Source organism: Homo sapiens, chromosome 13, assembly GCF_000001405.40.
Source record: "Homo sapiens chromosome 13, GRCh38.p14 Primary Assembly".
Lineage (NCBI taxonomy): Eukaryota > Metazoa > Chordata > Mammalia > Primates > Hominidae > Homo > Homo sapiens.
Genome location: NC_000013.11, coordinates 24841007 through 24866020, shown reverse-complemented (window position 1 = coordinate 24866020; position 25014 = coordinate 24841007). Strand labels below are relative to the sequence as shown.

The 25014-nt window shown below is 37.3% G+C and overlaps 1 protein-coding gene across 17 annotated transcripts in view, besides 1 other annotated feature; it reads right to left on the bottom strand.

Annotated features, from left to right (window-relative positions):
* The window catches only part of RNF17 (ring finger protein 17), a 140815-nt gene that overhangs the window by 22561 nt on the left and 93240 nt on the right, over positions 1 to 25014 (bottom strand). For 13 of the 17 annotated variants that reach the window (XM_011535156.3, XM_011535152.3, XM_011535159.3 and 10 more), the window contains 11 exons: positions 23860 to 23980; positions 22050 to 22277; positions 21219 to 21369; positions 20942 to 21060; positions 15578 to 15680; positions 14450 to 14565; positions 11877 to 12166; positions 6857 to 7020; positions 4634 to 4753; positions 3228 to 3308; positions 1023 to 1148 (listed from right to left, as the gene is read on the bottom strand). In XM_011535156.3, the coding sequence (XP_011533458.1) occupies positions 1023 to 1148; positions 3228 to 3308; positions 4634 to 4753; positions 6857 to 7020; positions 11877 to 12166; positions 14450 to 14565; positions 15578 to 15680; positions 20942 to 21060; positions 21219 to 21369; positions 22050 to 22277; positions 23860 to 23980 (1619 nt within the window). The remainder of the gene's footprint in view (positions 1 to 1022; positions 1149 to 3227; positions 3309 to 4633; positions 4754 to 6856; positions 7021 to 11876; positions 12167 to 14449; positions 14566 to 15577; positions 15681 to 20941; positions 21061 to 21218; positions 21370 to 22049; positions 22278 to 23859; positions 23981 to 25014) is intronic. The other 4 variants (XM_011535157.3, XM_011535160.3, NM_001184993.2 and 1 more) reach the window with 2 other exon arrangements.
* Positions 14891 to 14940: a silencer, noted in NCBI's record as "silent region_5181". NCBI's record gives its function as "represses an Ori minimal core promoter by ATAC-STARR-seq in GM12878 lymphoblastoid cells {active_cell/tissue: GM12878}" and the evidence as "EXISTENCE:reporter gene assay evidence [ECO:0000049][PMID:35858748]".

The following is a 25014-nucleotide window of genomic DNA, read 5'->3' as shown; positions in this document are numbered from 1 at the left end:
CAATTACAGGAAAATCTAATGTTCTGAATAATCTCACCATAAGTTTTCAACAATAAGAAACCTCAAATACATGTTAACACATGTCAAAGCTAATTCATTTATTATAAGAGTGGGAGTTCTTACCTTTCCCTTTAAAATGTTCACAGTGAATAGTACAACTAGAACAGAAAGACTAAGTAATCTTTATAAAACGTGTTTAATAACAGACGTAACTTCTTTTACACACACACACACCCCCACTCACCCACAACAACCACACCTCTGCTTTAAAGAAAAAGCTGGCAGTGAGGATTACAGGAACAAAGTTATAGCACGATTTCTATTTGAGAGAAGAAAGTAGTTTTCTTTATCCATAGAACAATGTTTGGTTGTGTACTACCACCAAAATGAATATTAAAGAGTCTAACAAGTAGACTGCAACTCTAGAAATAAAAATATCTTGTGATATAAAATATAATGATGCATAATCTACTCCTATAAAAGATTTATAGCAGCTTGAAATGTGAAACCATATCTTGTAACAGGCTATATTTTTTAAAGTACTAAACCACAGAAGCACCAGGCAAGGAATGAGCCACTTATGGAAGCTAAGCTCAAAATGTGACTCTGGGTTTCCTGTGAGAAGGCAAATGAGAGAAATTTTGTAATACACGGCTTTTGTGTCAAGTAAAAGGAAAAAATATTTTATCTGGAGCAAGAGCCCTCTGCTGGTACTGAATTCTATAAAGATTTTAGAATGTGCATCTCTAATTCAAACAACACTGAATAGCATGGGCATCGCACTAGGTTTGAAGGTACAGAAACATTAATTGAATCTTAATGTAATTAAAGTCTTTTACAGGACATTTATAATGCATGACACAGCCTATTCATCTTTCTCAGCAAAAATGTGTAAGTCCTCTAGACTCTCTTAATAGATCAGATATGTAGAATCATATTTAAGACACAGTGTAAGACAAAATGTGACATTTTAACTAGACTTTTCTACACTTTAGATTTTTATAGAAAAATAGTGCACTTACTTCTTTCAACATCTCCTCAGTATGTTCAGAAGTACAGTATTTATAGTATGCCATAAAATAAGAAAGTGACATTCCATCAAAATAGAGGTGAATAGACAATTTCTCCCATGGATTTTTAGGTAACTCCTATTTAAAGTTCAATAAAGATAATCATAAAAATAAACTCCACTTGATGACATTTTTATAGTCAGCAAATATCAAATTTAGCTTCTGACAATCATAGTATTAACTAGACAGTTTGGCTAGTGACTCATTTCATAGAATTTTCTTCCTGGTATTTTGACGCGCTATAAGGGAGTAATTCTACTACTTTGGTTTATGTAATATACACTTTCAAGTTCATAGAGTTTTCTAGTTATTTACCACAAAATAACTAGTTATATATAATTCCAATTCCCAAATACATCACCTTTAGATGATACTAATAAATTACACTACGTACAAAGAGAAAGAAAAGGTTACGTTCAGAGGTGAAGAAATAAAGTTTCATTTAAAAATCCAAAATTGGTGGGACTCGAAACAGTCTAAAAGCAGGAATCATGGTAACTTTAAAACTCTGAATAAAGTTCACTTACAGTTATTGGGTGCTGAATGTGTCCCTAACTGATAAGCTGACCTACAGCAATTCTCTTCATTTCCACTGATCCCACCTTTGTCCAAACTCACTGCTCCTCACTGTTTTACTGCTCCTCACTGAATTACTGTTGCTGCCTCCCAGCAGATCTTGTCCTATCTCTTCTTACCATTCCCTCTTCTGCCAATGCAGTCCCCTCCCTCCTAGCCCTGCTCCTGCCTCAGCACTCATCTCCCTGCACCCGTGTGGTCTGTCCTCTAACCATTTTAAGGTGTTGACTCAAATGTTACCTTTGCAGCGACGTCTTCCCAGATGCATGTTTAAAGTGGAACCTCCTCCCTGGCCATGCCATTCCTATCAGCCTCTCTCTTATCTAATCTAATACTCCTCATAGTTTATTTTCTCTTTCCCACCACTGAAATGGAAGCTCTAGAAAGGCAGGGATTTCCTACTGCTCAGCCCCCAGCTGTGTGTCCAGGCCTAGAGCAGAGGCTAGCACCTAAGAGGCCCTCTGTCAGCATCTCCCTTTGCGTACAAGGGAGAGGAGTGAGTCTGGGCAAGGCCTGCTGTCGGCTGGGTTGTGTGGCATGCACATTCGTGGTCTCTGAGACACCTGGCAGCCTTTGCTATACCACAAGCTATTCTTCTGTGTCAATTAAGCGAAGAAGCAGTGAAAGCTGTCTAGACAAACTAAAAATTTCAATCTCTACCATATTTCAGTGACTTGCCATGGAGACTAAGTAACTAGGGAGGGACTCTTAGTACTAACAAAAGCCACTTTCTTATGTAAGTGAGTGTGTGCCTCCTTTAGGTTTTTATCACTCTATCATCATCCTTTAATACAGAAATACTTTCCTTACCATATATCTTCCCATTCAGGCCCTGCAAACATAGCAGCTGCAGGTTGATCTTATTACCTCACTGCTCAGAAACCTCCACTGAGGCTCTCCCTACCAACCCCACCAACCGGCCCCTACCTCTCCTGAATGCTATTCACTACCACTACTCTTCACCAAACCTCCACTGTTCAAGTCAAACAGTTACACCATTTCCCTAAAATGTCTCTCTGTACCTTTGTGCATTTCATTTCCCCAGTCAGGAGAACATTACAAGGGCTACCTCAATTCTCACCATCTCTAAATTCCTATTACATTTACTCTTTTTACCAGTCACTTAGCTCTTGGCATGTTACTTTGTAGTGCAAATGTTTTAGGTTTTTGCCTTGTTTCACTAACCAGATAAGGGCTTTGAGGACACAGATCATGATAGACTCCCAGAATTACCTGGACCCGAGACAGTGCTGAGTGTTCAGCACCATCTTGGAAACTGCTACATATAATTATAAACATGTCCAACAATTTAATACTGCTCCCTGTAACAAAACAAGCTGTTAATAAAGAATCTTTCAAATTAGTGACTTTAATGGTTATGAAAGTTCTCAGGAACTTGTTCAAAAGCAGGCTTATTTAAAGCAGGCGCAGGAACCAAACTGGTAGTTTCTTTTATGCTAACAAGCAATTCACATAAGAAGGTATATACCATTGCTTATCATCAAAAATATCCCTCAAATTATGTTAATTATAATATTTTATGGCAAGTAATTTATAACAACTATATATACTTTAAATTACCATAATGTGAATGTCCACCTGTCTCTTTGAAAGCAGTTGTTGAAGAACTTCTATTGCATCTGGTTGCCAGACATTCCCAACCTATTTGAGATTAATAAACTCAGATTCTTTTATGCTTTCATAAAATCAGAGCAGGAAGCAAATTAAGATACACAAAAGTAGCCATAAACAAATAATATCAGATAGTAGTACAAAATACACAAGCAGTTCTCAGAGAATATCATAGGTACATGATAAAAATAATCTTTAAAAATGAATAATTTGAGTACTCATTTTATGCTTTAAAAATATAAACCTGTTCAGCCAGAGGTGAGAAAACACACACACACACACACCCTACATTTAAAAACAAAACATTACATTTAAGACTTTTTAAAAAAGACCAATATGCCAATGCAGTGCTTGTACAAGGCCTACAATATGTATTCATTAAGGAATAGCGGTTGTTGCGTCTTTATGCGTTGAGAGGTTCACATGGTGAGAAGTGAGGCTTCCTGCCAAAGCAATGTGAGTCAGCCATCTGAAGTGGACCCTCTGTCCCCAGTTGATCCTTCAGGTGACTACACTTATGGTGGACATCTTGACGGCAGTATCACAAGGGACCATGATATGGTTTGGCTGTGTCCCCACCCAAATCTTATCTTGAATTGTAATCCCCATGTGTCGAGAGAGGAACCTGGTGGGAGGTGACTGGATCATGGGGCAGTTTCCCCCATGCTGATTGTGAGTTCTCACAAGAACTGATGGTTTTGAAAGTGGCCGTTTCCCCTTCAATCTCTTTTTCTCCTGCAACCTTGTGAAGAAGGTATGTGCTTCTCTTTCGCCGTCCACCACAACTGTAAGTTTCCTAATGCCTCTTCAACCATGGAGAACTGTGAGTCAATTAACCCTCTTTTCTTCATAAATTACCCAGTCTTAGGTAGTATCTTTATAGCAGTGTGAAAATGGACTAATACAGACCCCTTGTCAAAACAAACCAGCTAAGCCACTCCTAATCCCTGAACCATAGAAACTGCATGAGATAATGAAAGTTTATTGTTGTTTTAGACCACTAAGTCTCAGCTTAATTTGTTATGCAGCAATACAGAATAAGACACTCTTTTATCTGATCTCCAGCTTCAAGTTTGTTGTAATTTCATTTGATAAAGAAATAAAACTTTTGCAATCTTATACCTTCCTACTTATGAACATGTCTCTTCATTTATTCAGATGTTTTACAGCCTTGAGTATAATTTTGTAACTGTCTTCATAAAGGCTGTTTAGCTGTCTTAGTAACTTATTTGTTGGTGTTTTATTACTTTTTTGTTGCAACTGAAATTTCATTTTACATTCTAAATATTTCTAAAAAATTATTAATAAAAACTAATATTTAAAATTAATCATTCCACAAATTATTATGTACTCACAGGTGTGGTATTATGGAGCTGACAAGGAATACAAAACTGGGGTATATCAGGATACAGCAAAATAGGGTAAAGATGGCACTGCGGAATCTTTTCAGTGAATCCATGATCTAAATATTGTACCTGAAACACGACAAATACAATTTATAGTTAAAATTTATTATTAAAAGCTAGGGGACAAAAGGAATTTCCTGTTATTAGAAAAAAAGACAGGCCGGGCTTGATGGCTCATGCCTATAATCCCAGCACTCTGGGAGGCAGAGGTGGGTGGATTGTTTGAGCCCAGGAGTTTGAGACCAGCCTTGGGAACACGGCAAGACCCCATCTCTAACAAAAATAAAAAAAATTAGCTGTCTGTGGTGGTATGCGCCTGTAGTCCCGGCTACTCAGGATGCTGAGGTGGGAGGACTGCCTAAGCCCGGGAGGTCAAGGCTGCAATGAGCTGTGACTGTGCCACTGCACTCCAAGCCTGGTGACAGAGGAAGAACTTGTTTCAAAAAAAAAAAAAAGACATCTGAAAAGTTTAAAATCTGGATTTCAAAAATTTCCAGGAAAAAAAGTAATACTGTATTTATTCCCTCATCCAATAGTGTATCAAACCTCATTGTAAAAAGGTTTTCTTACACTTAACCCATCAGACTTTTTTTTGAAAAAAAACTGGGTTTTATTGGATTTACAAATTCCTCAAGAGCAATCCCTTTTTGAAATGCTTTAATTTTGATAATTCAATTTCTAAATTGTCTTAAGGATAAGGAATGCCAATAAATTATTTCTTCTGTCCCAACATAATGAAATGAACATATCACTGTTTAATTGGATTTGCTTGGCAATTACCATTAAAAAATAAAATAGAATTAAACAAAAAATGTCTGAATACCTCACAGATAATTAGGATATGGTTTCACGAGACATTTATTTCTTAATGTGAATCACAGGATAAACTTTGAAAGATATCAGATTAAGAAATGAAAAATCCATTGTGTATACTAAAAATGTAAAGTGACCACATGAAAAAAATAAAAGGTGATGATTAAACTATCAAAGTTCTTTTAAGTAAGTTAAAATAAACAGATATTTGGACAGCATGAGAATTTTTATAAAAGTTCACCATCTTATTTATTTTGATTCTACAAATGTAAAGTTCATGAAGTATGATAACTTGATGAACACTGAATTTCATTTTACCTTTGTAAAGAAAAAAAGGTCAGGGGTTATCTGAGCAACTCGAATGTATGTCACTTTGCACATACATTCAAGTTGCTCAGATAACCCCTATAACTATCCAGATGTTTAAGTACTCACCCCAAATTTGAAACTATTTTACTTCTATGAAAACCATTAAAAATTTGTAGTTCAATAGAAAAAGTGTAAGACTTAGAATCAGAAGTTTAGGAATCAGATGCTTGGATATTAACTCTAGCATTACTACCCAGTGACCCTGGCAGGTCACTGAACCTAAATTTCAATTTTCTTATTAGTAAAATGGGAATAATAATCTATGTCTAGGATAACTGTAAACAAACTATAAAATATAAATGCATATATGTGAAGGAAGCTAAAAAACCTGAAGTGCTATGTAATCATTAGTTATCATCATCAAACAGAAAATAAACTCCTGTCCAGGTGGAAAAAAGACTTTTTCACTTAAGTTTTTCTCCCCTCACCCCTAATTAAAGTTTTCAAGTGCTGAATATATGATGAAGTACTTCATCAATTTCATTCCTTTACTTAGTAAATACAATGTATTAGAGGTATTTTCATCTATATTTTATATATATATATATTTCAAAGGATGTAGCTATTTTTGAAGATTTTGACTGAAACCTGAGTGTTAGTTACCTCATTATTCTGGAAAGGTAAATTAGTCGTTATCCTGAAAAACTAACAGGGCCATAAACAAATTTGCTAGCGAGATATTTAACATACTGGAAAACATATTGTTTTACTTAACACTATGTGTGGAAACAGGGCTACCAATTACAACTAAGAGGTCTATCCATTAACCAATGATCAAATCCCTCCCTATTTTTTGCTTATTCAGGTTACTAAATATATTTGCAAATAAAACGAAAAATTATTACAAATAAAAGTACAATATAACTGATCTTCCTACACAATTTTCATCAAAAGATGTTTTAATCCAACTTTCTCGTGTTCAAATGCACAAGACTATTTAATGCTATAGCATTTAGCTTTAGAATTGTCACAAAAGAATATCAGACTCACTCTGACAGCGCCACCTACAACCTCCATCACCTTGCCACGATACCACAGAGTATCGGATCCTCTTACTGCACATGCTTCTCCTTTTTTCCAGAAATAAGGCTCCAAAAGACCAAGGCATTTTAAATTACTTTGAATTTCATTTGTCATTTTTATTAGCTCAAATTCTGAAAAAAAGTATTAAAGATAGAAAGCATTAAGGAAAATTCCCTATCATTTGTCAATTTAATAACTTCATTTCTTCAGTAGTATAATTAAAAACCAGTCCCCCAAACAGAACTTTTGTAAAAATCTGTGTGTGTTTTAAAACATACTAGTAATAGCATATAAACAATATTATGATCTTTGATTATATTTTGAGAGTACAAACATCATAAGGAGCTCTAAACACATACCAGCTAGCTTAATATGAAAGTACTACCAATTCAAAATAGGGTCAGTTTGACAGCCCTAAGTAAAATAGGACACAGGTTATATACTACTTGTTGCTTAGATACAGTATGATGATGGCAATATAAATTAAAATTTCAATTTTGCTTTTATTGCTAATTGGCCCATTAGTTCCACAGTAAACATATATATATATATATATCCATAACTGATACCATAGAAGGTAAGCTCTGGAGTCAGTTACCATTCCCATCTTACTGCTTTAGTTGTGTGATCTTGGGTAGTTCCCTTACCTCCAATAAGCCTCAGTTTATCCTTCCATAATACCACCACCTATTCTGGGTGAAACAGCATCTTCTGGGAATAACAGTACCTGTCAGTATCATCAAGTGCTGCAGGAGGATTAAATGTAAAGCATCCAGCACACTGCCTGGCAGATAACAGGCTACTAGTTTGAACAATGACTATTTATACATGTCAAGCAAAGTTTCTGGGTTAAGTATTATTACTACAGGTCTCAAACGTTATTTTTTCTAGAACGGCCAATTGTACCGATTTTATTGTCTTTCAAATTAAAAAATATATTTAGGAGATCAACAAATGAGAGAAAAATTTCAGTAAATTCATAGCTACCATACCCTTATCCATAGGTACTAATTAGGAGCCAATGACACTAAGCCCTATGAGTGCTAGAGTTATCGACTATTCTGATGGGCCCAGGTTACAGTCAGGAAGCATTTGCAGCATTTGCACATAAGCCTAAAGATCTCATGAGGGACCTGAATATTCTCAAAAGTTCCTAAAGCTCCAGTTATTTGTTGTGATTTCTTTTCTCATTCTCAAGAAATATAAACTTCTGTATTTATTTTAGTTTTAGAAAATGAGACAGGGTCTTACTCTGTTGCCCAGGCTGGAGCAGTGGCATGAACGCAGCTCACTACAGCCTTGACCTCCTGGGCTCAAGCAATCCTCCTGCCTCAGTTTCCTGAGTAGCTGAGACCCAGGCATGCACCACCATGGCCAACTAATCTTTGCATGTTTTGTAGCGATGGGGTCTCACCATGTTGCCCAGCCTGGTCGCAAACTCCTGGGCTTAAGCAATCTTCCTGCCTTGACCTGAAGTGCTGAGATTACAGGCGTAAGCCACCGCACCCAGCCTGTATTCTTTTTTCATAGAGAGCCTCCAAACTTGTGTAAGTGACAGGTCTTACAAACTTGGAAACGCTCCACCCACACCCCCAGCATCTTAGTGCCAAGGTGAGGAAAATAAGGGAGACACAGTGGTGGAAAGCAGGTTAATTTATGCTAGTCCTGATCTAAGAGTCATTTTAGCAGCCTATAGAAACCGGGTTCATATTGCTTCTCTTCCATGCTGGGAGAGTACTGAGGATGTCTACATAATCACTGGTGGCCTAAGTTCTAAATTCTGCCAACCACGTGTCATTGTCACTCTTAGGTGTACAAAAAAAATGGGACTCCAGGATTTTTATATTCTCAAGGATCCCAAGGTTTACAGATGCACAAAAATATTGAAATCATGGAGGAAAGAGTAAAATCCTGAGTGGCAGCCCTCATATATCATGATGCTAAAAACCCAACTACTTCATCATATACCTAATTTCCCTTATTCTTACCAAACTTCATTACTTCTATTCTTCCAGCCAGGCTGAACCCCTTTGTCTGATCTATGTCTACCTCCCTAAAGTTCCTAACTCTAAAAAGGTCTACCAGTATTTTCTCCCTGTCCATATCTATCTATATTTCCAAAGCCATGGGGTTTGGAGCGTTTCTCAAAAAAGTCACCTTTCCTCATCTCTAGCCTAACTTTGCCTTTGCTTTGTGACCTTGCAACACTTTGAACACAGTGTCTCCCACAGAAACAATAGGGTACAGTGAATAAAACACACAATTTAAGAAGCCAAGATACACCTAAAGAAAAACAAGAAATCCAATGGATTTCAAGCGTTATAGGATACACAACAAAGTAACTTGTATACACACTAAAAGTAGTATAGGCTATCTTCAGGAAAAAAACTGGTATTGGTGTAGGGATAAATAGCACTAACACAGAACAGAAAGTTCAGAAACAACTCGTGCATATATGGAACCTTAATCTTTGACAAAGTTAGCATTGCAGATCAGTGGGGAATGTGTGGAGTATAAGCCGATGAGCTAGGACTACTAACTAAACCTATAAAAAAAATTGGATCTCTTCTTCTTACCTACTGAAAAATCAATTCTGGGATAGCTTAAAGACTTTATGTAAAAAACAAAACTATAAACATTTTTTTACAAGATCATATAATGAAATAGCTTTCTGACATCAGAGTAAGAAAGGATTTTTTTTTTTTTTTTTTTGAGACGGATTCTTGCTCTGTCACCCAGGCTGGAGTGCAGTGGCGCAATCTTGGCTCACGGCAACCTCTGCCTCCCAGGTTCAAACGATTCTTCTGCCTCAGCCTCCTGAGTAGCTGGGATTACAGATGCCTGCCACCACGCCCAGCTAATTTTTGTATTTTTAGTAGAGATGGGGTTTCACCACATTGGCCAGGCTGGTCTGAAACTCCTGACTTTGTGATCCACCCACCTAGGCCTCTCAAAAGTGCTGGGATTACAGGCATGAGCCACTGCGCCTGGCCCAAGAAAGGATTTAAAACGAGATACAAAACCAAAAAACAAAGAAGATTGATAAAATTACATTAAGACCTTCTGTTCATCCAGAAACTCCCAAAAGACACTGAAAAGACAAGTAAGAAACTAAGAGAAGATACCTGGAACACATAAAACCAAGAAGGGATAAGTGTTCAGGATATATTAAGAACTATGAATCAGAAAGCAATGACTTAATGGAAAGTGAGCGAAGACATGGATAGGCATTCCAAAAACACAGAAATACAAACGACTCAAATAGAAGAAATGATGTTTACGCCATAAGAAGTCAAGGAAATGCTAACTAAAGCCATAGTGAGAGACAATTTCACATCCACTAGGATAGGTAGAACTTAATCTGACCTTATTAAGTGTTAGCAAGGATGTGGGGTAACAAGACTCTTCATGCACTGGTAGTGATGAGTGTAAACTGTTATAAACAACTTTGAAAAACAATTTGACATTACCTAGAAATTATCCACCAATTTTTTTTTTTTTTAATGGAGTCTCACTCACTCTATTGTCCAGGCTGGAAAGCAGTGGCACGATCTGGGCTCACTGCAACCTCTGCCTCCCGGGTTCAAATGATTCTCCTGCCTCAGCCTCCTGAGTAGCTGGGATTACAGGTTCGTGCCACCATGTCCAGCTAATTTTTGTATTTTTAGTAGAGATGGGGTTTCACCATGTTGGCCAGGCTGGTCTCAAACTCCTGACCTTGTGATCCACCCACCTCGGTCTCCCAAAGTGCTGGGATGACAGGCATGAGCCACCGTGCCTGGCCAATGATTACCAATTCTGTTCACTAGATTATGTGCCCTAGAAAAATTCTGCTTGTGTAACAAGAGACAGGTACAAGAATGTTCATAGTAGGATTTTTTGTAATCACAGAAAATCTAGAAACACATGTGTCTATCAATAGAACAGATACCGAGACATAATCATTCATGGAAATGCTATTAATTCATTTAAAAAATGAATGAAATATAGTGAAATGCGCCAAGGTGGACAAATCTCGAACAGTTTGATGAAAAGTCACAAAAGAATATGTACATTATGGTTCTGGTTACATAAAGTTTGAAAGATGGAAAACCTAAAAAATTTGTTTAGTGACGCACACAGGAAATGATAATTAGCTAATTCAGAAAAGTGGCTGTATCTGGGGTGGCAAAACAGGAGACGTGATCAAGTGGGGCAACACAAGTCTGCTTAGGTTCTGGCGATGCTGCTTCTTATCATGGGCAATGTGTATGTGGCTACTCATCTTAATGTTGTTATTTAAATAATACATTTTATACTCTTTCACATAAATAACATTTTATAGTAACTTCAAAAAATTCATTTGAACTCTACTTTTAGTGATTTTTAATGTGATCAGCACATTGACCCATTGTGGGAGTCATCCTTTGGGATCCCATCTTCACATGAGGAATTCCTATTAGATTTCCCACTTTGAGTAAAGGGGCCTGGACCTTTATTTCCTTTTTCTTTAACTTCATGTAGTTATCACAGTTGCTCAAGGTTCTATAGTTATGAAGCAACTCTAGAGTGATTGCCTTCTTTGGCACATGCTTACCTCCCAGTGTGTGATTTCAGTTTGTTTTGGAGCTTGGTATGTTCTTTACTTTAATGCCAACTCAGTAAGTGTTCATTAAAAAAAAAAATTGGCATCTGATCTGACTTATTTGGGAGGGTTGTTCATCTGCCATAGTAGTGGAAATGGAAATTCCAAATTCCTTTCTTCTTATACTGAGAATAGCACTCACATAATATAATTATATAACACTGCTATGTTAGAATAATGAAAAACTGCATTAAATGATTTTTATGTTAGGCATTATTAAAAGCACTTTGCATGCATTGTGTGAAATCATTTAATCCTCCTAACAACCTTGTGAAAATAACGTTCAAAGAGGTTGCCCAAAGTATTTCAATCCCTGTCGTTCGTACTAGAGAACTAGAGCCTACATAACATAGAAGGTCTCACCTGATAGTTTAGGTACTACAAATATAGTTCCATCATCACCAACACAGCTGACTGTTGCCTCAAATACGTTCATGTTAGGAATAGCTGGTGGCTTATACCCTCTAGTGGTTCTTGGTTCTAGAATTTTCTCCTGAAATTCAGACACTTTCTGTTCACTGATTATGTCAGCAGTTTTCTTGTCAGGGTCAAAGTTAGTTTTAATACAGTTAGTAACTACTGAATCTTCCTGTTCCAGGGGGACTTCCAGAGACTTCTCAGATAATGAATGGCTGTTATCTAAGTTATTAATTCTGTAACATCCAAAAAAGAACACATCTAAACATAAGCAAATATAAAATTCTGGGTAAAACAACATAAAAAGAATCATTCAGATATACATGAAATTGAAAGAAAATATTTGCTCTAATTTGTTACATAAAAATTAGCATCAGTTAAAATTAAAACTACTTTAAATTATGAGACTGATGAGAAAAAGCAATAAAAATTTAAGTAAATGTTTTAAATTTCTATATTTACAGACTATGCTCTCTTAAAATTTCATATGTATATCTCAAGCATTGTACAATGAATTCAATGTTACTAGAAGATACAACACCTTTAAGATGATTTCAATTTAGTCCACACATAGAACAGACATCTGGCAAGCTATTAGCATCCAAAAATACAAAGAAAACATGAGTCTCTTAAAAAACAATAAGGTACTATCCGTATATATGAATATACCATATTCATATATTACCTAAGTGGTAATATGCTATATTTACTCAGTTTTTCTACTTTATATTATTCCCTTCCAATTAAAAAAAATAGGTATCCCTACTGTATAAAAAAATAAAATCTTAGGAGGAAATATTAATATTGATTGTGTTTTAGCGGAATTATAGCAAGTTTCTTTTTCTTCTCATCTCCTGTACTTTTAAAAGGAAATAAGGGCCGGGCATGGTGGCTCACGCCTATAATCCCAGCACTTTGGGAGACTGAGGCAGGAAGATCACCTGAGGTCAGGAGTTCGAGATCAGCCTGGCCAACATGATGAAACCCTGTCTCTACTACAAATAGAAAAATTAGCCAGGCATGGTGGCGCATGCCTATAATCCCAGCTACTTGGGAGGCTGAGGTGCGAGAATCGCTTGAACCCAGGAGCCAGAGATTGCAGTGAGCTGAGATCACAGCACTGCACTCAAGCCTGGGCAACAGAATGAGACTCTGTCTCAATCAATCAATCAATCAATCAATGGAAATAAAGCATTTATGAAAAAGCCACATAATTCCTCAAATACCCTGCTAGTCCCCCAACCCACCGCCGCCTTAAGATAGCTAGTAGTTTTAGTCTGTAAAAGCAGTAAAGAACATTACAACTGGTAGCAGACAATGTCAGTAGTATTAACTTGCCTAGCATTTTCCATTCTAACATTTCTTCTATCAAGGAATTGCCTTAGCCTAAAGGCAAAGCAATTAGCTGTATGCCAAAGCCCGGGCAATCCAGGCCACATCTCCCATATCTAGCCTCATGTCCCACTTTCTTTCTGACTTCTAATTCTCTTTCCATTTCATCAGGACTGGGATCCCTGTTCTAAAGAAGGTAAGATATAAGTTAAGGCAAACACATCTACGGAGATCTGGCCATATATGGTACAAAGTGGCTAATTGGGACTTGTGTCTCCAATTCCAACATACCTCTAAATCTCTAGAAAGAGAGAGAAAAGAGGCCGAGCGTGGTGGCTCACACCTGTAATCCCAGCACTTTGGGAGGCCAAGGCGGGCAGATCACGAGGTCAGGAGATCGAGGCCATCCTGGCTAACACGGTGAAACCCCGTCTCTACTAAAAATACAAAAAATTAGCCAGGCGAGGTGGCGGCCACCTGTAGTCCCAGCTACTCAGGAGGCTGAGGCAGGAGAATGGCGTGAACCTGGGAGGTGGAGCTTGCAGTGAGCCGAGATTGCGCCACTGCACTCCAGCCTGGGTGACAGAGCCAGACTCCGTCTCAGAAAAAAAAAAAAAAAAAAGAGAGAGAGAGAAAAGATTAAGCTAGAGCCACAACCATATCCTGATCCTGTCCCTGGACCAAAGGTGCTTAAACTCCAAACATAGAACCCGAAAGGATCTTTAAACGTAAATACTGTTCAATTATTTATTTGCTACTCATCCTGTTTCATATAAATACATTTACATTTCATATAAATACATCTAGTAGGTATATACCTACCAGAATTTCTAAAATAAAGCCTAAACATTTATGTCTAAGTAAAGGATACCAAAGGGCTCAGATCTGGTATCCACTACATTGTTCTCTTTTTCTTTGGTTTACAGTGTAAATGTCAAAGGAGAGGGGAAATTACAAAAGCAAGTATGTCAGTAAACAGGCTTAAGTGTGCAAGAACTGACATGCCTGAAAAATGAAATGAGCAATTCTGAAGGAATCTATTTCTGAGCTGGCTCCTCAGGGTCAGCTTATAAATCTTTAAGAGCAAACAAGATGCAATTCAGACTTGAAAGCACACATAAGATTTGCACACGCAACTGAGGCATCCATCACAAACTGATGTCAAAATTTTTTAAAAAAGTCTATACCTCCTTTCTCTCAAAGCCAAACCCTTTTTAATCAAATATTTAGAAACATCAACACGCTCTCCTTTTTCATCTCTGCAGAAAATTTTCACAGGTAATGGCCATGTTGTGTTGTTTTCCTGTAGTGATTTAAGAGCAGAGTAAATATGAAACACCAAAATGAAATCTTCATATAAACAATGTGCATTTCACAGGCAGTTCTTCTACATTTCTCTAAGCAAGAAATATTCCCAGCTGAGTCAAGTTATTTTGATATCTAAACACATCCAAAAATAGCACTGGGCCGAGTGCAGTGGCTCACGCCTGTAATCCCAGCACTTTGAGAGGCAGAAGTGGGCGGATCACTTGAGGTCGGGAGTTTGAGACCAGCCTGACCAACATGGGGAAACCCCGTCTTTACTGAAAATACAAAATTAGCCAGGCGTGGTGGCGCATGCCTGTAGTCCCAGCTACTCGGGAGGCTGAGACAGGAGAAGCTCTTGAACCTGGGAGTCGGAGATTGCGGTGAGCCGAGATCGCGCCACTGCACTCCAGCCTGGGCCACAAGAGCAAAACTCCATCTTAAAAAAAGCAAACAGCATGGAAGAGAGTGGAACAGAGAGTTATTTTGTGAAATGCATCAGGAAAACCTCAATGTCAAGGTGAAATTAAAGAAAAAAAATCAAACTGGAAACTTTTTTTCCAGTCACAGAATGGGGAGTTGGGAAGTGAGGAATACAACATCAGTTAACAAGTTTCTTTATTCTTTTGCATTCTCGTAAATTAGAGAATCAAAATATATTTTCCAAGGTGTGCCTTTTTTCTCCTACAAAAAGCAAAAGAACTACAAAACATATATTCTGCTTCATATGGAAAAAGGTATAAAACTGGAGAAAGCACATAAATAGTAATAAAATGAATTACAAAATTCTACTCAATGTAATAAAACATTTAAATTAGAAAAAAGAAAGCAAAGAATATTTTTGAAGTGGTCTGAAAAGATATATGCCTCTTATACTTTGAAATAAAACCGACAAAATTTGTAACAAAATCCAAATAGTTGGCTGCTATTTTCTCTACAAGAAAGAAAATAAATGGAATCGATGGAAACATTAATGAGATCATCAGCACATATCTCTTGTAACTTGTTACCTCACTATCCACCTGTAAGATTATAGTTGCTACAGCTCCAGTCAGGTACAATGAAAGACAGTCACAAGCTGTTGCTGTCCACTTGTCACTCCCACCAGCTGGTCTACAACAGAAAACAGTGGCAACTTGTTTTATAAAAATAGCATACAATATTGAAATATACAAAAAACACTATATTTACACACAGATACACTCATAGTTTGAACCAACTATATGTAGTAAAAAAAACAATTTAAACATGGATTCGTATTATTTTTACAATTTTTTCCCTCATTTTCCTATCTTTTTTTCATCCCTCTATTTTACTGAGGGCCCATATTACATATTAACTTATTTATGTGTATCTTTTCTGCAGCTACATTGAGGAGCTGTAAAAAACAGGTATATTTTAAATACTTTTTAAGTCATTATATACATTTCATGTATGTCAACTAGACTGTAAACTCCAAGAGAACAGGAATGATGATGTGTTATGTGCATCATCATATTCCCTGATGACTAGTATAGTGCCCTGTCACATAGAAGCCATTCCAGAAATATTTAATAGAAAGAAAAAAAGTCTCTTTGTAATGATGATTCCACTGCCCATCTTTGGAAGTTCTTTGGATTTCAAATCTAACTTGAATTGCTACCCATAAATAATAGAAATACCAGAAATTTTAATTACTGATTCAACAAAATTTTTTACATTATCTGATAGATGTGGTAATACAGTTTTAAATGACTAAAATTTAGCAGTACCATAGCCTAAGCTTTCAGCAAATACTGTCAGACAGTAATGCATAGTTTGAAAAAATGCTCAATAAATATCTGACAGATAAATGAAATGCAGAGTATCCAATTTCATCATCCATTTTAGTTTGCAGAGTTGAAACTGAGTGACTGCAGAGGTGTCCAATCTTTTGGCTTCCCTGGGCCACACTGGAAGAATTATTTTGGGCCACACATAAAATACACTAATGTAGCTGATGAGCTAAAAACAAAACAAAACAAAAAACTCAAAAAAATTTCATAATGTTTAAGAAAGTTTACAAATTTGTGTTGGGTTGCATTCAAAGCCATCCTGGGCTGCATGTGGCCTGTGGGCTGTGGGTTGGACAAGCTTGCCTTAGATGTCTCTAATCAGCAAATCTATCTCCAAGAATAAAGAATTGGTAACACAGAAGAGATTACAGATAACATAATGCAGGCTCTATAGGCTCTCTAAATATGGTTTCTAGTTCCAGAGTTTCATTGAGCTAGCCCATTAACTGAGTAAACAATTAATTCTGGTCAATTTTTTTAAGAGACAGGGCCTCATTATGTTGCCCAGGCTGGACTTGAACTCATGGGCTCAACGGATCCTCCCATCTTGGTCTCCTGAGTAGCTGGTGCTAAAGGTGTATGCCACCACACTCAGCTTCGCCTGGTCAATCTTTTCACAGTAACATGGCTTATATGGGTGAACTAACCAAATCAACTGGGCACATAACTTGGCCAAACAGGATTTCGTAAATGTGCTATACTACTTATTGTAAAGCCCAGAGAGAGTTCTTATGTGCTAAGAAGCTTAAATTGTTAGGAACTCTTGGAACCAGTTATGGTTTATTTATTACGATGGTATATAAATATAAGTCAATGTAACATCAAGGTTATCCATTGATTTATTATGGATATAAATATTAATTTAACATTTAAAAAATGTATGAATATAGAATTTCAGTTAGGGAAGATGAAAAAGTTCTTGAGATGAAATGGTGGTAAATGCTATACAACAATGTGATTTTTTTATTTATTTTTTTGAGACAGAGTCTCACTGTGTCACCCAGGCTGGAGTGCAGTGGCGCAATCTTGGCTCACTGCAACTTCTGCCTCCTAGGTTCAAGCAATTCTCCCTACCTCAGCCTCCCAAGTAGCTGGGATGACAGGTGCCTGCCACCACACCTGGCTAATTTTTGTATTTTTAGTAGAGACGAAGTTTCACCATGTTGGCCAGGCTGGTCTTAAACTCCTGACCTCAAGTGATCTGCCTGCCTCAGCCTCCCAAAGTGCTGGGTTTACAGGCGTGGGCCACCGCGTCCGGCCATGAATGTTCTTAATGTCATAGAACTGTACACTTAAGAATGGTAAAAGGGTAAACTGAGTGTAATATATATTTAATCAACCTAAGAACAATCTATTAAAAGGGATTTCTTAAAATGACAGTAAAACAGAGTGGTTAGAGTCCCGGTTCTGGGTTCAGACTGTGTTTATAATCCTAACTCAACAGTCAGCAGATATTTTATCCAGATAATAAAATACTTAACCTCTTAAATATTCAATTTCCTTACCTATAAATAGTATTTATATCTTTAAGGTTTGTTGTTAGGATTAAGTGAAATAGTGTCTTTAAGACAATTAATGCAGGTTCCAGAAGTTCTTAAAGGTTAGCTATTATTAGGCTTTTAAAATGATAATGGTATTCCATTCCAGTCCATAAGATACCATTTAAAGTATGTACACAAACACATTCTCTGTACTGTTAGGTACAATTAAGGGACTGATATAATTCTGTTCAATTATTCTGATTGAACTATTTAATGTCAAAGTGAAAACTAACATAGGATTTATATAGTATGTGAGCTGAGACTTCCATTCCAGGGCACTGAAAAGATTTAGTGTCCCATTGTCACCATCAGTGATCACAGACAATAGGAAGAGGTGCCTGTAAGATTAGAGAAATGGGTCATTAAGAAGAAGGTATCCTATCAGAACAAGGATCTTTAGGGAATAAAACAAATTTTAAAAAAAGAAGCTATCCTATTATAATATCAATTTTTAGGCCAGGCGTGGTGACTCACGCCATAATCCCAGCACCTTGGGAGGCCGAGGCAGACACATCACTTGAGGTCAGGAATTTGAGACCAGCCTAGCCAACATGGTGAAACCTCATCTCTACTAAAAATACAAAACTTAGCCGGGCATGGTGGTGCACGCCTGTAATTCCAGCTACTCGGGAGGCTGAGGTGGGAGAATCGCTTGAATCTGGGAGGCAAAGGTTGCGGTGAGCTGAGATGACGCCACTGCACTCCAGCCTGGGCAACAGAGGGAGACTCTGTCTCAAAAAAAAAAAAAATAAATAAATAAATAAAAAGATCAGGTTCCCAAAACAGATAAATCAAACCAATGTTAGATTTATATAGATAACTTTGGGTAAGGTACTTAATTTCTCATCATGAAGTTTCTTCAATTGTAATATGAAGATAATAATAGTTCCATGTCGGTATTATTGTGAGAACTAAACTAACACACGTAAAGCACATCATACAATGCCTGTCCTAGTAGACAATAAATGTTAAGGTATATTGTATAGTGTATCTGGAGTTCTCTCATGAGATCCTTGCAGATGAGATACAAATAAGCTAGATAAACCAGTATGGTTTATTTCTTAAAAAAAAAAATCACACACAGGTTCATTAAAGTTTTTATAATAATGCTGAAAGGGTCTTTCGAATCTTTTAGCTTTATTGGTAAACATATTTCTAATATTCCTATTTATAATCCATGTCTGAAAAGCCTACACATATATGTATACCTAAGTGTGTGCATGTGTATATGTCTTTTAGCCAAATAACATGCAATTGGCTTCAAGTCAGTGATCAAATTTGAGACAATCTAAAACAAGCTTATCCAACCTGCACACGGCCCAGGACAGCTTTGAATGTAGCCCAACACAAATTCATAAACTTTCTTAGAACATTATGAGATTTTTTTCAATTTTTTTTAGCTCATCAGCTATTATTACTGTCAGTGTATTTTATGTGTGGCCCAAGACAATAATTCTTCTTCCAATGTGGCCCAGAGAAACCAAAAGTTTGGATACCCTGGTCTAGAACTACAAGCTACCCCAAGTGATTTGGATAACTGTGGTAGCATATCAAAGCAATAACAAACGATCTGCCAGTAGACTTAATGATAGAGCTGTTTCCTATATGTACAATTTTATCTGGTATTCTATGGTGAATAGCAGCTAGGGTTTATTTAACAAAAGTTAACAACTGTTCTGAACCTCTGGGGGAGGGCCAGTTATTTTTGGCTTAGAGGCTAGATATCCAATTTTTGCCAATAAAAGAAACTCAAATTTTTATGTGGAATTTACTAGTTTTTTAAAGAGTTAATATGCCATAGTTCAAAAAACATTCTGCAGGCCAAGTGCATATTAGTTCGATTTAGCTCATAAACTGTAGACTACAACTCTGACAGAGGTATGCTTTCAAGTCTACAGATAATACAGCATTAGATGGGGCAGCCTAGACATGGAATAACAAAATCAAATATCTGAGTTTCAAAACCAATTAGAACAAATTTGGCAGGAAAAACTGCAAAATTCTGTATTTAGGTTAAAAAATCACTGTGTCAGGCTGGAGTGCAGTAGCACAATCATAGCTCACTGCAGGCTTGAACTCCTGGCCTCAAGTGATGTTCCTGCCTTAGTGTCCCAAAGTGCTGGGATTACAGGTGTGAGCCACCTCACCTGGCCCTTTCCCCTCCTTTCATCTGGATCTTTTCTTTCCTTTGCTCCACTGCCTGTCTTGCTCAAATTGAAGTCTATTCCCAGCAATTTCTTCTCAGTGTGGGGTTATGGAAAGGAGTTTCAGTTTACTTTCAAGAGGTTATACGGCTAAAAACGCTCCAGTATTGTGGGAGTTTGGCACATTTACAGATCTCTTTCTTGCATTCATATAAGAACTGCATCCTGCCTTATCCCTTAGTTTTGGCTGCTATTCTCAGATTAGCCTGCATGCGCCAGTGAAATACCGTTGCCGATTCCTATTCTCAAAGCTGTTGGAATCCTAGTCTGCCTTCCCTCCAAATCCTGCCACACAAATGTTGATACTGTAAAGGTCCTGGTTCATGGTGTACCCCACCTGCTAATATTTGAGGGCTCACAGAAGTAACTTGTCATCTGATTTTGTTGTAGATATTGGCTGTGTAGTCTTTAGTTTTACTATCCAAGTTGCTGTTTTTATAGTGGGATTCCAGTAGACTAAAACTGTTCTGTCATTTTCCCAGAATCCTCCACAAATTCACTTTTTGGTAATTTACATATTTTTAGCTTTCTATGCAATTCTAAACTTACACAATTTATTTCTGTGTTTGTTGTTCCTCAAAGTAAAATTTTTAATATTCAACGGTTTGAATTCTATCTAGGCACTTTCATACTCACCTATCTCTATTTCTTAATGCCACTAAATTTACGTGCTCCAAACTTCTCTCTTTCCCTCTTGAAGTCCAAAATTAACTAGATTTTAGGAAAATTTCAGAATATCTTAGCAAAATTAAAACTGACGAGAACGCATTTAAAAATATTTAAAATAATGAGAAAATTACTCAGCTAAAAACTACCTTATGTCAACCAGAGAACATTCCAAAGAGAGTCTTCCCATTGTCTTTAGATTTTCTTCAAGTTTTCTTAAACAGTCAACATTCACTACTAGTTCAACACCCACATCATACAGCAAGACCTAAGAAAATAATAACTTTAAGTCTACAGACAAACAACATTTCGAAATATTTTTTTGGCAAACTGAAAAACTCAATGAAAACTGTTTTAACTCCAGGGAAAAAAATACAAAATGCATTCATTCACCTTCACAATTACACTTTTAACTCTGTAATTTACCTCTACCAATGTGTCTGTAACCATTCTGATGATCTGGCCTCTTCGCCACTGATTTTTATCTTGGATCTTAACAGCACAGTGCATATCATTTTCCCATTTAACAGGTTCCCATTTTGAGTTTTCATAAGCAGCTATCATCTTTTCTTCTAAACTATAGAGATAAAAAATATTTAACTTTCCAAACCTTTTCTTATATAATTCTCTGGCTACATGTTTCCTACAATCTCCGCTTGCTCATTCCGCTCCAGCCAAGCTGGGCACCTTGTTCTTCCTTGAATGTACAAGTGTATTTCTTCCTCAGGTTTTTGAACTAGCTCTTCCTTCTGCCTGAGATAAACTTCCCTCAGACACTTATATGGCTTACCTCCCTCCTTCCTTCTTTGGGGCCTGTTTCAAAAGTCACTGTCTCTGAGGTCTTCTTTGACCATCCTAAAAGTGCCTTCCTCCCTAAATGCTTTAGTTTTTTCTATTTCCCTTATCACCATCTACCACACTAAAAATTTTATATGTTCACTCTCTCTCCCTCTACTAGAGTTTAAGCTACATGGTAACAAAGATTTGTCTATGTTTTATACCAGGGTATCCCTAACACTTATAATACTGGTTATCATATAGTAGGTGCTCAATAGGTATTTGTAGAATGAATAAATTCTAATGCAGTGAAAACAGCCAACAGATTTCCTATTTTCATACTTCTAACTAGCTGAGACTACTTAGTTAAAATAATTTTGCTAGTAAAATCTACATTTATGACTTCTAGATCTTTGAAACAGAATAAAGGATAAAATCATATGCAATATTTTCCTTATATATTATATATATATATTATACCTATTAAGTAAGTTTTCAGTTAACAACCACTGAACATAAATCTTCTCAGGAGATATTACATTACAGATATGCACAGGCAATTCCTTATTATAAAGTGACTGAAAATTCTCATTAGGTAGAGATTTTGCAGACACAGGATTTAAGTTGTGTACTTCATTTGAAATAATTTCTTCTGGAGAAGGATCCCAAACTTCAATATGCTTTTGAGAATTATCTTTGAGGATGTATCTGAAAAACAACAAAAGTTAATGAAAAGAACTGTATGCAAAATATTTGTTTGCATTTGCTCAGGTCTGTATCTTGACTGTGATGATACTTATATGACTATTTTGTCAAAATTCATTTAACTGTGGACCTAAAACAGGTGACTTTTTACTGTATATAAGTTATACTTCAATAACCCTCACTTTAAAAAGAAAGGAGAAGATTCAATCCAAAAAAAATTTTTTTTTTTTAAATGGAGTCTCGCTCTGTCACCCAGGCTGAAGTGCAGTGATGTGATCTTGGCTCACTGCAGCTTGCGCCTCCCAGGTTCAAGCAATTCTCCTGCCTCAGCCTCCCAAGTAGCTGGGATTATAGGCACCTGCCACCATGCCCCACTAATTTTTTGTATTTTTAGTAGAGATGGGGTTTCACCTTGTTGGCCAGGATGGTCTCAAACTCCTGACCTCATGATCCGCCTGCCTGAGCCTCCCAAAGTGCTGGGATTACAGGCGTGAGCCACTGTGCCCGGCCCAGTTCAACATTAATTTGAATGTTTATTCTCATTTCTTTTCCGCTCTCATTTGAGACCTATAGTGGAAAAGCTCCTGATTCTAGCTCCTCCAGCATGGGAGTGAGCAGGAAAGCATGTCCACAGATCATTAATACTAGTATGAGTCACTGCAGGCCTCTATGGGGTGTCACTACTTCTTTGGCTTATGCTGACAGGCATCACATGTGGGTGCTATCTGAATACTGGCTTTCTTTTTTCTTTTTTTTTTTTTAGACAGAGTCTTGCTCTGTCAGACACTCTGGAGTGCAGTGACACAATCTCAGCTCACTGCAACCTCCGCCTCCTGGGTTCAAGTGATTCTTCTGCCTCAGCCTCCCGAGTAGCTGGGACTATAGGCACGCACGCCACCACGCCCAGCTAATTTTTTTATTTTTAGTAGAGATGGGGTTACAACATATTGGACAGGCTGGTCTCAAACTCCTCTCAAGTGATCCGCCCATCTCAGCCTCCTCCAGGGCCACTCCCACTGCACAAGTCCCTGTTGTGCAAGAATTCTTTGTCTTGACCTCAAAACCCTCCCACCTGTCCTTGCCACCACTCTATTCTTCTGCTTCTGGGGTCACCCTAACCACTAGCCTGTCCTGGGTGAGTATTAGCACAATGGCTCAAGCCTGGTTATCATTCAAAGTATCCACTTGAATCCAGGAAAATCAACATTTCTACAAATGGAAATGTAAGCTACTCTACCACTATGCTTATTCTCCATCCTGCCATTTCTCTTCCCAATTCCTTTCTCAATCAGGCACAAGGGGCTTCCTAAGCAGAAATAAGACGGCAGTCTCCTTTCCTTAGAAGCACTCTCAAGGAGCCTTTCTCTTGGTTTCTGGGTTCCTTAGTAATGGAGGGAAAAGTCACTCTAGTCCTCATTAATGACTCCAGTTATTTTCTATTTTTTCTGGTCCAGGACAGGGAAAATTCTCAGGTCTACAGTCTAAGCTCATCTCCAATGGGGAATGATATGCCAGTTTCCCTTCTTGTGATTACAATGTTACATAAGAACATGAACTAACAATGAAAGTTTACATATCTACTTACCCTATTTCATAAGATGCTAGGCCCTCTTTAACTAGCTGGTCATTAATACTAGTAGTAGTCATTTCAGGAGCACCAAGAGAATCGAAAAGCTCAACTAAGAGCACATTATCTTCCAGAATTTCTGTAAAACCATTAAGAAAGTTTGGGGAAAGAAATATGTCACAAAATATAGTAAATGAGGCAATTTTTTTTTTTGGAGACAGAGTCTCACTCTGTCGCCCAGGCTGGAGTGCAGTGGCACGATCTCAGCTCACTGCAACCTCTGCCTCCTGGGTTCAAGTGATTCTCCTGCCTGAGCCTCCCGAGTAGCTGGGACTACAGACACTGTCGCGCCACCACGCCCGGCTAATTTTTTTTGTATTTTTAGTAGAGACGGGGTTTCACCATGTTGGCCAGGCTGGTCTTGAACTCCTGACCTCAAATGATCTGCCCACCTTGGCCTTCCAAAGTGCTGGGATTACAGGCCTGAGCCACCGCACCCAGCCTAAATGAGGCAATTTTTTTAAAAATTGGAAACTTAATTTCTTTCATTTGCACACATGACATTTCTTGTAGAATAATGTCATAGTTGCTAGGAGTTAGAGTAGCATTTTGCAGATATAAATGGTCAGTGTTGTCTGTAACATATACAAATTAGTGAACATTTTATTTTAGGTTACTGTGTGCCATTATATAAAGAAATCAGCTCAAAGCTTTTAGATTCAGAAAAATACATTCATTGAAGAAGTGTTTTGTTGTATTCTTAATTGTTTTATGGAACTCAACCAAGTTCCAGGAGGACCAAGGTGAATGAAAGTTAACTCAGGCCAGTGATCATCTGCAAAGGTTTAAGCTTTTATAAAAATGGCACAAAGTTTAAAACAACAAAAACTCAATCTAGAACCCTCAATTAACTAGAACTTTTTTCTGTCCCCATGTTTTTTAGGACAAACCATCTAACTTTTAATTCTGTTTATCAGATCTATTTCTTAAACTAGACTGGGAGTTAACTGAGTGTAAGTAAGGCTTGTGTCTCATGTGTCTATTTACTTATTTATGGTACTTTGCACAGGGAAATTGGTCAATAAGTATCTGAAATATGGTAGACAAATTTCTTTAGAAAACATCTCTAAAAAATGCACTGAGATCTGTATATGCCTACACCTTTCCAGCCGG